Source organism: Homo sapiens, chromosome 16, assembly GCF_000001405.40.
Source record: "Homo sapiens chromosome 16, GRCh38.p14 Primary Assembly".
Lineage (NCBI taxonomy): Eukaryota > Metazoa > Chordata > Mammalia > Primates > Hominidae > Homo > Homo sapiens.
In genome coordinates, this window is record NC_000016.10 from 66,645,457 (window position 1) to 66,660,763 (window position 15,307).

Below are 15,307 nucleotides of genomic sequence, written 5' to 3' on the forward strand. Positions count from 1 at the left end.
AATCCCAGCTACTCGGGAGGCTGAGGCAGAGAACTGCTTGAACCCGGGAGGCAGAGGTTGCAGTGAGCCAAGATTGCGCCACTGCATTCCAGCCTGGGCGACAGAGACTCCATCTCAAAAACAAAAAACAAAAAACTGTAACTGTGCACACCTTTAGACCCAGAAATTCTAGGACTATGTACCCTATGAATAAATGCACATGTATGACGCTGCACTGTGTGTCGTATTAAAAAGTAACCAGGCCGGCTGTGGTGGCTCACGCCTGTAATCCCAGCACTTTGGGAGGCTTAGGTAGCTGGATCACCTGAGGTCAGGAGTTCGAGACCAGCCTGACCTATATCGTGAAACCCTGTCTTTACTAAAAATACAAAAATTAGCCGAGTGTGGTGGTGGGCGCCTGTAATCACAGCTACTCGGGAGGCTGAGGCAGGAGAATCACTTGAACCCAGGAAGTGGAGGTCACAGTGAGCTGAGATTGCGCCACTGTACTCCAGCCTGGGCGACAGAGCGAGACTCTGTCTCAAAAACAAACAAACAAACAAACAAAGCAGGAGAGCCATGGTGAATAAACAACAGCACATCTACATACAGTAAGAAACACAAGGCAGAGAGATGGGGGATTCTGTGGACTGGCGGGGAAAGGGTCCAAGGGATACTTAGAGAAAGAACAGAGTACAGCACACAAGGCATAAAGTGACCCCATTTTTGGTGAAGAACAAAAAATAAGCATATTTGTGTTTACAAACACATTTATGTGCATTGAAGGATTTAAGCTAAACAGTAAAAAATCAATACCTCTCTATGGATTAGGATTAGGTGGGGAACAGGGGAATCACAGAGATTTTACCTTTTTTAATTAACACTCCTGTCGTGTTTGAATATGTAAGAAATATACATATTCATACATATATGTATTTATAATACATGCATATAATATATACACATATATGTACACATTGTATATAACTGCATGTATGTAAATATATCACATGTATATATTATAGATTCAGGAAGAATCTATAGTAAAATATTGATAGTAAACCCATCTATATGGTAGAAATGTGGATAGGTTTATTTTCATTGAGCCCGCTTTCATGTTCCAAAATTTCTACAAAGAGTATATGTGTTTTTAATTAGAAAAAAAAATTAAATGCCCTATGTATGGACACTTTTTTGAAACATCCAGGTTATGAGTTAAATTTTAGTGACCTCTAAGAACCAATCCTTACTTGTTTTGAAACCATTCATGAATTTTTTTTTTTTTTTTTGGGACACAGTCTCGCTGTGTTACCCAGGCTGAAGTGCAATGGTGCGATCTTGGCTCACTGCAACCTCCACCTCCTGGGTTCAAACGATTCTCCTGCCTCAGCCTCCTGAGTAGCTGGGATTATAGGTGTGCACCACCACACCCGGCTAATTTTTGTATTTTTAGTAGAGACAGGGTTTCACCACGTTGGCCAGGATGGTCTCGAACTCCTGACCTCAGGTGATCTACCCACTTCGGCCTCCCAAAGTGCTGGGATTACAGGCGTGACCCACCACGCCCAGCCTGGTCAGGACTTTTTAAAAGCCCTTTTGACCAGGTGCAGTGGCTCACACCTGCAATCCCAACACTTTGGGAGGCCGAGGTGGGTGGATCATGAAGTCAGGAGATCAAGACTATCCTGGCTAATACGGTGAAACCCCGCCTCTACTAAAAAAAAAAAAAATACAAAAAAGTAGTCGGGTGTGGTGGCAGGTGCCTGTAGTCCCAGCTACTCAGGAGGCTGAGGCAGGAGAATCGCTTGAAATGGGGAGGCGGAGGTTACAGTGAGCCGAGATCATGCCACTGCACTCCAGCTTGGGCAACAGTGCGAGACTCTGTCTCAAAAAAAAAAAAAAAAAAAAGTCCTTTTAAAAAGTACACAGGCTTCACAATTATAGCCTGTTTTCACAAAAGAAAGTTCTCTTTTTAGTCCAGATTTAATCTTGTCAGTCATCTGAGAAGTCAAAAACTTACCCTGTTTTTCCATCTAAAAAAGCAATCTATGACATCACCTAGAAATACGTGAGCATTGCTTCTGATACACCATTGGGGGTAAGGAAGGTGTGCGCAGGGCCAACTGTGAGGAGACTGGGGAAGAAGTTGGACAAAAGAGCAAATGAGGAATGTGAACATCTATCTCTCTGAGTGCTACTCAGAGAAGTTCAGGATCCAGCCTTAATCACCCACACAAAACACCAGAGAACCTAACTTCAAACTATTGTTCTTTCTTTTTTTAAAAAAAAATGAGTCTCACTATGTTGCCCAGGCTGGACTCAAACTCCTGGCTCAAGAGATCCTCCCACCTCAGCCTCCCGAGTAGCTGGGATTACAGGTGCACGCCACCACACCCAGCTTTGCTGTTCTTTGATTACTCATTAGACATCTGTGTGAGAGAAGTTGTGAAATCATTTGATAAAAGTGGTATTTTTATTTACAGTGATGGTGACCCACTGCTTTAAATGCACTTTGTCTGTATTCACTTGAATCCAAAGCAACTCTCATCCTATAAAAGACAGCTGTCATTAGGGTTGTAGGAGTCATTAATGCTGGCTGCCAAATATTTGTGGTTCTCCACCATCCAGCACCTTCCCCGCATCCTTTGAATTTGTGTGGGGCCACAAGACTACTTCTGGCTAATGAGCTGCCAAGTGCATCACTTTCAGGTGGAAGACTTTGTTGCCAGTATGAGATGTTCCAGAGACCTCCCTTCACCACAGTGCCCAGCAAGCTCTGAAATGTAGCTGCTCTACCAGCAGTGAGGACACATGGGCTAGAAAGAGTAAGCAGAAAAATGAACCTTGGTTGTTACTACCTAGTATTCTTGCTTTTCCCAACTGCTACGAGGATGGTGCCTTCATCTGTTTGGGAATGAAAATATTTTTCCTGGATCTGAGTTTTTCCTCATCATTAATATCTTAAGAAATCTTAGCACTTTGGGAGGCCGAGGCTGGTGGATCAACTGAGGTCAGGAGTTCAAGACCAGCCTGACCAACATGGTGAAACCCCATCTCTGCTAAAAATATAAAATTAGCTGGGCCTGGTGGCGCATGCCTATAATCTCAGCTACTCAGGAGGCTGAGACAGAAGAATCGCTTGAACCCGGGAGGCGGAGGCTGCAGTGAGCCGAGATCACGCCATTGCACTCCGGCCTGGGCAACAAGAATGAAACTCCGTCTCAAAAAAAAAAAGAAATAAATCTCAGCCCCCAGGCCGAGCACGGTGGCTCACGCCTGTCATCTCAACACTTTGGGAGGCTGAAGCAGGCTGATCACCTGAGGTCAGGAGTTCAAGACCAGCCTGGCCAACATGGTGAAACCCCATCTCTACTAAAAATACAAAAACTAGCTGGGTGTGGTAGCGCAGGCCTATAATCCCAGCTACTCAGGAAGCTGAGGCAGGAGAATCGCTTGAACCCAAAAGGCAGAGGTTACAGTGAGCCAAGATCATTCCACTGCACTCCAGCCTGGCTGACAGAGCGAGACTCTGTCAAAAAAAGAAAAGAAAAGGAAAAGGAAAAGAAAAGAAAAGAGAAATCTTAGCCCCCAGACACTATGTTCTAAACAGTGACTGAGGTTGCTGGGCACAGTGGTGCACACCTGTAGTCCTAGCTACCCAGGAGGCCTAGGCAGGAGGATCGCCTGTGCCCAGGAGTTTGAGGCTGCCTACCGTGAGCTATGATCATGGCTGTGTAATAGCCACTGCACTACAGTCCCAGCAATAGCGTGAGACCCTGTCTCTTAAAAAAAGAAAAAGTTCCTGAGGTGGGTGTGGACATTTGCCTTTATGTTTTAAAAGTCCATTTTTTTTTTAAAGTAGTATTTAGGCAAGTACCATCCCTTTATTCAGCTAAAATTAACTGAGGATCTACTACATGCCAGGCACGATCCTAACTCTAGGGATGCATTGGTGAACAAGCTCCTTAGGGAGCAAATATGCTGCTTTTTTCTTTTGGTCTTGATTCCTTCTCTCTATCTATCCATCTATCTATCTATCTATCTATCTATCTATCTATCCCTGATTTTTTTTCTTCCTAATATATGCATTATTTCCATGACAGGTCATTTCAAATCTATTGAAGAGTATATCCCAATTTAATCATGACTTATATCACCTGGTGTCCTGCAGACTCCACAGTGGGAGCAGGTATGGTCCGTCCTCAGCAGCCTCCCCACTCCCTAAGCCTGGGCTCAACCTCAGCCTTGCACTGGGTTCACACCCTCCTATGAACATGAGTCAGGTCCAGAGCCCGACTCCCTCCTCATGGGGGGCAGGGGCAGGGCTCTCACTGGCACTCGTCTGCTGCCCTCCTCTCCTGAGTATGGCTTCTTTCAGGGCCCCTAATCCCTGTACATGTCAGGATCACAGACATGTATAAGAAAGGCCACGCCCCAGGCAAACAGGGTGAGGCCAGACAACTTCTCCCTCAACCCTGATCGTTTTGTGGCACTTGGAGACTCTCTGTGCTTAAGGTCTCAGTTCCAGTCCAGCCAACACACGCTATTATACACAAAAAGAACTAACCAGGTGCGTGGCTCGGTGCCCAGGGAGGTATCGAGACAAAAAGTGCTGCTGGGATTTGGAAGAGGGAGGGTCAATGAGGGCTTAGGCAGCAGCAGAGGCTTTAGGAGGCTTCCCAGTCAACACCAAACTCAGGTGGTCTTAGAGGAAAAACGGGAGAGAACATTTGTGTGAGATGGTGCCTAACTTTCAAGATGTGTTCCTTGGTTGGCTGGAGGTGGGTGGAAGGTTGGGATACAACCTAGTTCCTCACCAAAGTGCCTCTGTTTTATGTTTATACTCCCATTAGCAGTGGTTCCTAAAGTTTTCTGGCCAAAGAACCGAACACCTGTTAATAGCCTTCTCCTAAACTAATGTTCCAAGACTAGTTTGCAAACCATCGTTCGGGTTTATACATTGGGAAAGTATTTCTGTTGTGCTTTTAAAAAATTCTTTTTAAGGCTGAGACTACAGATGCAGCCTGGCCCTTTCCCTTACAGAGGAGCAGCTCCAAATGGACACAAGTGTGGAGAGTGGTGGGCCCCGCAGACATACAGCTTTGGGTCTTCTCATACTAAGCCCCATGCTGTTCCCACCTTAACTATATCCCTGGTCTTAGGGTATCAGGCACACCAGCATCTTAACAGTCCTGAAAAGCCTCACAGTAAAACCTGTTTACCTTTACTTAATACATGGATGTTACAAGAGCACAGATTTCTTCCCCCCGCACACCTCTTAACACTTTGCACAGCCATGTCTGGAGGTAAACTAGTTTGGGAAACACAAAAGGCATGTGCTGGTCAATACTCAGCTTTGTCACGTCATGCACAATTTACAGAGTAAAAACATGGAAGCTCATTTACCCAGCAGGGGAGCAACTATTAAGGACCCTGTTAACCTAGTGAAGACCTACGAAGCTGAGTGGTGACCACACGCGCACACACAGCAGGGTTCAAAGTGTCTTCAGAATCAGACGAAGCTCTAATCAACTCCAGCACATTCGAAATTCAAATGTCTCTATTCCTGCCAATACTGAAAAAATATCTGAAAGACGAGACAGGGCTTGTATTTAACCACAGACGAAAAAGGCTAGTTGTTAACGGCTGCTGGAAGACCTCAGAATGTGCAGAACAGAGAATCCAGAGGGGGCAGCAGAGAGCAAAGCAGGGACTGTGCTTCCGAAGCCAGCTCCTCTCTTAGCAACCAACAGGGGATGTTAAGATGGGCTCCTGGAGCCGGAACTACAGAAGAGGCACGAAGCCTCTCCGCACCATCTTTCACGGTGTTGAGATGGGGAGTTTTAAGCCACTCTTTATACACACGCTAAACAACAGATCACCTTAAAACATAAGTTCCCAGGCCAGAAGCCATTTATATGGTCTGCAAACGGGGGCAAATAGTTCTGCAATGCCAGGCACCTCCGAATAACAACGGCTTCCATTTAGGGAGCATCAATAAGGTAAGGAAGCTACAGGGCTCTGCACCAGGCACAGTCCAAACATCTCTGATCCTCACACCCCGACTCAGGAAGCAGGCAGCACCTCCATCGTGTGGCCAGGTCCCAAAGCTAGTTCCTCCCCTACCTCATTCTCCTAGATAAGATGCCTAACATATGACTTATCCAGAGTCTTCCCACCCCTTTCACCATGGGAAAAATCACCATGTATGATTTCTCTTCAAGGAAAGCAATACAAGACCTGGGGTAGCCAGTGCTGAGACTCTGACAAAGCCCACAACATGACTGCTCATTCTCAAAGGGATCTAGCTGTAGTAATATCTTAATTTTTCTAAGAAAAATAATCCATGAGTTTTTTCCCCTCCCAAGGGAGGCCATCCCATGAGGATGATAAACTTAAAATATCACCCTCCTCTCCCTTAAGACAATCGAGCAATGAGCAAATAATGTTTGGTTCTGAAACAAAGGAGCTAATTGCAAGTGTAAATTATTCAATCTGCAACCAAGGTGTTTGCATGTGATCTTTGGTTTCATTGCTTTTCTCTAGCAGTGCCCAAGCTAGGACCTGAGGGTAGCAAAGAAGTAATAGAAAATTACCTGCTCTGGAAGGGCAGAGATGGCCCTCAGGAGCTAAAGCCACCTGGGCTGGCCAGCAGGACTAATTAGTCAACAGTGATTAGTTGAGCAAAGGAGCCAAGAGGTGGAGGCAAGTAAGTTCCTCATTGTTGACAAGAAAAGGAGAAATGGGGTCAAAGGGAGAGGCTTCCAAGGACTCAGGATGGTGAAAGAAAACAAAGCGCAGGCAAGGCTGGGGTGCAGCAGACGGCAGCAAGGTGTGCACTCTCAAAGAAAGCCCGCCAGCCTCCGAGGCCACACTCCACTCTAAGTGGTGCTTACCGCAGACCCCTGAAGGCACCGTTTTCCACTGAGGACAGAAGCATTGGGTTGTTGATGCCCCAGAAAGCTTGGTTGGGTCTGGGTGTGGCCTGTGTCACTAAGGCCTATTCAATCAGTGTCCCTGACAGATGTTTCAAGCGGGTTCTCTGTGTAAACAATTTTGATATTTTGGAATTCTAAAGCCATAAATAAGAGTTGAACTTTGGACATTGCATTCAATTCAATTTTTTGGCAAGATTCTCACCTTCAACGTAAATTTTCATACTTAGAAGCATGCTCTAACGCATACATTAAATCCACAGGTTACCCATCAACAACGGCTGGATACTGTATCACAGGCTCCAATTAAAATAGGTTTATTTTTTGGTATCTAACTACTTAGAGCACACAAACAGGGTTATCCAATAAAGTGCGAAACATTTTCTTATTTTTAAAAGAAAATCCAGAAATCCTTATTATGTGGTTTGATGATATAACTGCACATGATTTCAGAAAACCACAGGACGGTCAGCATCTTTCTTGCCAAGAGATTGCCCACAGAATCTTATTGCGAATGCTACCCTGCTCAAAAAGTCAAATTTTCAGACCGTTTAAATTAGTAATGGAGCAAAAACAAAGCACATGTAGAGGACAGAGGAAACAAGCTGCCCTTAAAGCATAAACATCTGAAGCTGTTTAACTACACTGCTGCCATTAGGATCTTCTTTTCCCCTTTACTTTCTCATGGTCCTAGCTTCATAGATGAAGCTGAAATCCCAGAAAGCAGTGTCGCATCCCCAGAATACAAAAGCAAAACCTCCCCCTTTCCTTCCTCTTCCTGCTTTACTTCCTGGGTACTTCCCCAACCTAACAACTCTGGCCAACCACCTTAACTGAGAGTAAGGACACAGCATTTCTCATTGAATGAGAAACGAGCAGGCTGGGAGAAGCTTTTTGCTAAAGATTGATTTCAGCCAAAATAGTGAACTGCATATCATACATAAGAGGCCAGATGGAAGTCCATTGGGAAAACCCAGCTCAGTCGTGAGACCCACTACCCTGGCAACCCCCCAGGACCTCTACACCATCCAGAGAGAGAGGTCTTGGAACCAGTCTCTGGGAGAGGGAGATGCAGTGAGCTAAGGGTTAGCAGTACAGGCCCAAACCTATGACCCCCAGGGCCGCCATCCTTACCCCATAGGTCAGGGACTACTGTTCAGCATGGTGGTTATAATGGTGTCCCCAGCTCCAGAGACAGTGAGAACAGTGGAACCTAGAATGTGTGACACTGTGGCCTTCCTTAAAAAGTCTATATTTGCTGAGCCCTTCTACTATGAGTCAAATACAATGCTGGGCACTTCTATAAGCATTCTAGCCTTTAATTTAAAATTCATTCCATCCTGATAGAAACATGGTTGGTTGGGTTTTGTTTGTTTGTTTTTAAGACAGAGTCTTGCTCTGTTGCCCAGGCTGCAGTGTAGTGAGCAATCTCGGCTCACTGCAACCTCTGCCTACCGGGTTCAAGCAATTCTCCCTGCCTCAGCCACCCGAGTAGCTGGGATTAGAAGCGTGTGCCATCATGCCTGGCTAATTTTTATGTGTTTTTTTTTAGTAGAGACAGGGTTTTGCTATGTTGGCCAGGCCGGTCTCAAACTCCTGGCCTCAAGTGATCCACCTGCCTCGGCCTCTGAAAGTGCTGGGATTAAAGGTGTGAGCCACTGCACCCAGCCAGTTTTTAATTAAGATATAATTCACACACCATAAAATTCACTCTCTAAAATACACAATTCAGTGACTTTTAGTATATTCAAAGTTGTGCAACCATCACTATTACACAATTACAAAACATTTTCATCACCCCAGGAAGAACATGGTTTTTAATCCCCATCCTATTGACAAGCAAAGTGAAGCAAAGTTGTTAAGCAAACCAGCCAAGATAAGTCTTGTTAACAGCAGAGTTGGGGTTCAAATCTGGACCCCAGAACCCTCTACAGCACTAGGCACTAGTGATCACCCTCCACCTGCACTGGACTTCCACTGCTCCCCCTTGCCATCCTGCCTCCTGTCACATGGCAGGTGCTCTCCAGGGCCTCGCCTCTGCTGCCTTCTCATGAAACACATGCTTACCAACAGACTCCCTCCTCCAGACTCACACTCCCAAATTCACCCTTCTAGTCTGAATGTCTTTCTAAGCCCCAGACCCAGGCCATAACTGTTCCCCCACAAACTGGGCACCTCTACGTAATATCACCAGGCACCCACAAATGTGAGTGCAAAAATCCTCTTGCCGTTAGCATAGCCCGTCGCACAGTAGTTAAGGAGTGGGGCTCTGGAGGCTCACGGCCCTGGCCCGTGATCCCAGCTCTGCCACTGTGACCCTGGGCACATTTACTTCTCTTCTCTGAGCCTCTCTTTATAAATTGTAAAATGGGTTTTCTTTTATTTATTCAACTGTAAAATGAATTAAGGGGCAATTCTGATGCTAAAGGATTGCTGTGAGGATTAAATGTAAAATACTTTGCACCATGCCCAAGAGTGAGTATTCAGCTAAATGGCAGCCACTGTCCTTACTATGTGAAAGGGCCAACAGAGCCCTCAGATATATTTCCTGTCTTCACCAAGCTCCAGTCCAGTAAAGAAATGTGAACATGTAGAATGTACCCGAATTTCCTTTTTGTTTTTTGGGTTTCGGGGGGCTTTTTTGAGACAGAGTCTCACTCTGTCACCCAGGCTAGAGTGTTGTGCTCACTACAACCTCCGCCACCCAGGCTCAAGCCAACCTCCCACCTCAGCCTCCCAAGCAGCTGGTACCACAGGCACACACCACCATACACGGCTAATTTTTCTAATTTTTGTAGAGACAGGATTTCGCCATGTTGCCAAGGCTGGGACTCAAGCAATCCACCTGCCTCGGCCTCCCAAAGTGCTGAGATTACAGGCGTGAGGTACTGCGCCCAGCTGAACTTATTTCTTTTTTAAAAATAGCTATTATCGGCCAAAAAGACCTAGAAGTAATAACTCAGTGACAATAAGCACCCCAAGTACCCAGATTGAGGTCTCTAAATAATATTTCCTACTAAAAGTAACAAGGGTTTCTTAGAGAAATGGCTAATTCAGGTCTGGGACAGGACATCCACAGGATAAATATTATTTCCCACTAAAGGAACAGGGATTTCTTGGTAAAATGCCTGAGGTCTAGGACAGAAACGTGTGTGTGTGTGTGTGTGTGTGTGTGTTTATTTATGTGTGTGTGTGTGTTTATATATGTGTATATATGTATTACATACATATATACGAGATATAAGATCCAAATCTTAGTTTCTAAATACTACCATTTTTCACTTAAAGGAAGCAGGGCTCCCTGGAAAATCCAGGGCTGGGGTAGGAGAGTCCAAGATGAGTGTGAAACATCTTGTGCTCAGAGAATGAAGGGAACATGTCTAAAGGACACTGGAACCAGTGTAGAGGGGTTCCCATTGGCCAAATCTGAGACAACTTGAGCATCAAAATAAATAATTATAGTTTGGCCGGGTGCAGTGGTTCATGCCTGTAATCTCAGTGCTTTGGGAGGCTAAGGCATGAAGATACTAGAAACTGGAGACCAGCCTGAGCAACATAGTGAGACAGCATCTCTACAAAAATAAATTAGCCGGGAATGGTAGCCCACGCCTATGGTCCCAGCTACTCAGGAGGCTGAGTTGGGAGGATCTCTTGAGCTCAGGAGGTCAAGGCTGCAGTGAGCTATGATTGTGCCAATGCATTCTAGCCTGGGCAACAGAGCACAGTATCTGGGAGACAGAGTATTTGTCTCCAAAAACAAACAAAAATAATAATTAAGTATTAAAATCAATGAAAAAAATCCAAACTCATGAGTTCATACAAATTAAGAAGGGAGAAGGAAAAACTCTTTCCTACAGTTGAAAATCCAACCAACAAATATAGCAGGAATGGTGGATTTAAAAAACTGCCATTTGGCAGCTATCGTAATTCTTGATTCAGGCAAGAGTCATCAATGGACATTAAAACTAATGAATGAAAGGGTTTTTTGTTGTTGTTATTGTTGTTTCTTTTGAGACAGAGTCTCACTCTGTTGTCCAGCCTGGAGTACAGCGGCGTGATCTTGGCTCACTGCAACCTCTGCCTCTCAGTCTCAAAACATCTTCCCACCTCAGCCTCCCGAGTAGCTGGGACCACAGGCATGCCCCACAGAACCCAGCTAATTTTTTAATTTTTTGTAGTTTCACCATGTTGCCCAGGCTGTGAAAGGTTAAGAAGTTATAAGATATTTACATTGTCTGAAAGTATCTTCCCACACACAAAAAAATACTTATTAACTACATAGAAAAAAAAAAAAACAGTAACTCAACAGTGGAGAATCTGGGCAGACATCCCCTTAACCAGGTTAAGATCTCCAGTAATGAGTCAAATCTACATCATCTGCCTCTGATATGATGCACTGAAAGGACACATCGTCCCTTCTGTGGTGTTCCCGACACTACCACAAAATAACCAGAATCCAAACAGGAGACAGCATCAGACAAACCCAAATTGAGGGACAATCTACAAAATAACTCGCCTGTATTCTTCAACTGTCAATGACATGAAATGAAGGCTAAAGAACTATCCCAGACTCAAGGAGATTAAAGAGACATGACAACTAAATGACAACATGATCTAGGATTTTCATTTATTAAACAGATTTTTGAGACAAAGAGGGAAACATGAATAAGGTCTACAGATTAGCTAAGAGTACTGAATCAGTGTTAATTTCCTGATTTTTTTTTTTTTTTTTCAGATGGAGTCTCGCTCTGTCACCCAGGCTGGAGTGCAATGGTGTGATCTCAGCTCACTGCAACCTCCGCCTCCCAGGTTCATGCGGTTCTCCTGCCTCAGCCTCCTGAGTATCTTGGGCTATAGGCACCCGCTACCACGTCCGGCTAATTTTTGTATTTTTAGTAGACCCAGGGTTTCACCATGTTGGCCAGGCTCATGGCCTGGCCAGGCTCCGGACCTCAGGTGATCTGCCTGCCTTGGTCTCCCAAAGTACTGGGATTACAGGCGTGAGCCACCGCAGCCAGCCCTAATTTCCTGATTTTGGTAACTATAGTGTGGTTATGTAAGAAAGTAATCTTGTCTTTAGGACACTGAAGTTTTTAGAGATAAAAGAGACATCAAGTCTGTACTCTCAAAAGACTTAAAATATTCTATAAATATACATATACAGATATATAAACACACAGAGAGAGAGAGACAGTAGAGGAAGGATAAAGCTAATATGGTGAAATTAACATTTGGAGAATCTAGGTCAAAGCATATATTGTTTTATACTACTCTTGCAATCTTTCAGTCTGTAATTATTTCAAAATAAAGGCTTTTTAAATGACATGTATCAAATCTGTAAAAATCCACGAGTTTGGAGAAAAAACTCATTGTTCACCTTTAGAGGTTGCTAAAGCATTAGCTTGTTATTAGGAAAATTAATGAAGGAAAAGAATCAAAAGAATCAGCATTTACCTTGCCTTTCCTGTACAAACTGTATTTCAGGAAAATCAAACAGATGGTGAGGAAAAGATCTTTACAAAATTCCAGTTAATAAATGCAAAAGGAATGATTGAATTAGAAAATCATTGGCCAGGCTCCATAACCATGCCTATAATCCCAGCACTTTGGGAGGCCAAGGTGGAAGGACCACTTGAGGCCTGGAGTTCGAGACCAGCCTAGGCAACATACTAAGACTCCATCTCTACAAAAAATATTAAAAAATTAAAAATTAGCTGGACGTTGTGATACATGCCTGTAGTCCCAGCTACTCAGAGGGCTGAGGTGGGAGGATCACTTGAGCTCAGGAGGTCTAGGCTGCAGTGAGCTATGATTGAGAGAAAGCAAAGAAAGGGAAAGAAGGGAGGTAGGGAGGGAGGGAAGGAGGGAAGGAGGGAGGGAAGGAGAGAAGGAGGGAGGCAGGCAGGGAGGGAGGGAGGGGAGGAAACCATTATTTTGAAATGATCTGGACCCGGATTCTCAATCCATCTGAAAACCAGGAGTTAGAGGGCATTAATTGCTGAACTCAACCAAAAAAACATTCTTTTTCTGCCTGTTCATTTATCAAAGTCATGCTCCTAACTCCCATTCGAGTCGCACTTCCTCCACCAAAGCTTTCTGTGGCTCTTTCTTCAGCCCAAACCAGTTTTATCGCTCTGTGATTTCCTGTGGCCCTTGATCTATGCCAGTGGCTCATATACTTGGTTCATCCAGGGATCCTTTCAAAATCCTGATACCCACATTGGGCTCTAGGACAAGATTTCTCAAACTCAGCACTATTGGCATCTCAGACCGGATCACTTTTCATTGTGAGGGGCTGTCCTGTGCATTGAGGATGTTTAGCAGCATCCCTGGCCTCCACACCACTAGGTGCCAGTACTCCTCCCACCCCCAAGTGGAGAAAGCCAAAAATGTCTCCAGATACTGTCAAATATCCCTGGGGGGCAAAATCTCCTCCCACAGGGAGGAAGAATGGCTGATCTAGCTCGTGAGCATCAGTAGCTATTAAAGCCACCGATGCGGAATTTCAAACAGATGGATCAAGCACCCACCAATCAATCTTGGCTTCACTAAAAGCAAGACAATCAGCTGCTCCACCTGCTAGTGTGGATGCCGTAGGATGAAGCCAGCAGACCTGAGACAGCTTCTTTTCATCCCACCCCCAACCCCATCCCACAGTCAAGCTATATAGAGTAACCAGGTTACAGGAAACAGAGAAGTTGAAGGAGCATGTTAAAATCACACTAGAGGCTGGGCGTGGTGGCTCACACCTGTAATCCCAGCACTTTGGGAAGCTGAGGCAGGCGGATCACTTGAGGTCAGGAGTTTGAGACCAGCCTGGCCAATATTGCGTTGTCACTACTAAAAATACAAAAATTAGCTGGGCATGGTGGTGTGCACCTGTAGTCCCAGCTACTTGGGAGGCTGAGGCACAAGAATCACTTGAACCTCAGAGGCGGAGGTTGCAGTGAGCCGAGATCGTGCCACTGCACTCCAGCCTGGGCGACAGAGTGAGACTCTGCCTCAAAAAAAAAAAAAAATCACACTAGAGAAAGCCACCAGTCAAGGCCAAAATGGGAAATCTATATAACAAATTACCCCATTTCATCAGCAAACAAATGACATAAAGGGAGATGAGGGCTGTTGTAAGATTAAGAGAGACTTCAGACACAGCAAGCAAATGCAATCACGTATGGATCTTGTTTAGATCCTAATTCAAACAAACCAAAAGGGCATTTTGGAGATCACTGGGGAAAAGTGAACATAGGATAGTCAATGACATTAAGGAATAATTATGTTATTTTGAAGTAATATTGATATTGTGGATGTGTCATTTAAAATAAAGTTCGTAACTGATAGAGATGCATACTTCATATTTATAGTTGAAATGCTATGATATTGAAGACTTGTTTTAAAATATTACAACAAAAAAGGAGGGGAGCGTTGATTAAACAAAAATGCAAAATGGTGATAACTGTAAAAGCTGGATAAAAAGTATGTGGGCACTTGTACTATTATCTTTACTAGTGTATGTCTGAAAGTTTCCATAATAAAAATTTAAATTTTTTAAAAATGTTGAAGAACTTATATCCAGAACATACAAAAAACTCAAATCTCCACAATAAGAAACAACCCAATTAAAAAGTGGGTAAAAGATATGAGCACATCACAAAAGAAGATATATAGATGGCAAACAAGCACATGAAAAGATCCTTAACATCACTAGCTATTAGGAAAATGCAAATTAAAACTACAAGGCAGAGCACGGTGGCTCATGCCTGTAATCCCAGCACTTTGGGAGGCTAAGGCAGGAGGATCACTTGAGCCCAGGAGTTGGAGACCAGCCCGGGCAATCTAGTGAGACTCCATCTCTACAAAAAAAGAAAAAATTAGCCAGGCGTGGTGGCACATGTCTGTGGTCTCAGCCTCTTGGAAGGCAGAGGTAGGAGGATTGCTTGAGCCTGGGAGGTACAGGCTGCAGTGAGCCCTGATTATGCCACTGCACTCCAGCCTGGACAATAGGGTGAGATCCTGTCTCAAAAAAAAAAAAAAAAAAACAAAACTCCACCATAAAAGGTGAAATTTATTGCATGTAAATTAAAAAGAAAAATTTTCAATGTTGTAAAGTCTATTGATAAGGAGAAGCAGCATAGAACAGTCATGTTACAAAGCAATCTGTACTTGTAAATATATGCACACAGACATATGTGAACAAATACGGAGACAGTGTTACACACAATGTGACTAGTGTTCATCTCTGATGAGTAAGATACTAGGACATGTGTTTTTTTCTTTTAACTTAGAGGTATTTTCTAATTTTTCTTAAATTGGTATTACTTGTGTGATTTCTTTAAGAAGTAATTTAAAAACAAGCAAATAAAAAAATAACTGCAAGCTGCTCTGGGAAGCCTTTC

At 44.1% G+C, this 15,307-nt stretch overlaps 1 protein-coding gene across 6 annotated transcripts in view, besides 1 other annotated feature; it reads right to left on the minus strand.

Annotated features, from left to right (window-relative positions):
- CMTM4 (CKLF like MARVEL transmembrane domain containing 4) overlaps positions 1-15,307 on the minus strand; it is a 98,566-nt gene that overhangs the window by 47,279 nt on the left and 35,980 nt on the right. The gene's annotated exons all lie outside the window — the stretch shown is intronic.
- Positions 5,530-5,824: an enhancer, noted in NCBI's record as "tiled region #8452; K562 Activating DNase unmatched - State 4:PromP". NCBI's record gives its function as "activates a minimal TATA promoter and a strong SV40 promoter by Sharpr-MPRA in K562 cells {active_cell/tissue: K562}" and the evidence as "EXISTENCE:reporter gene assay evidence [ECO:0000049][PMID:27701403]".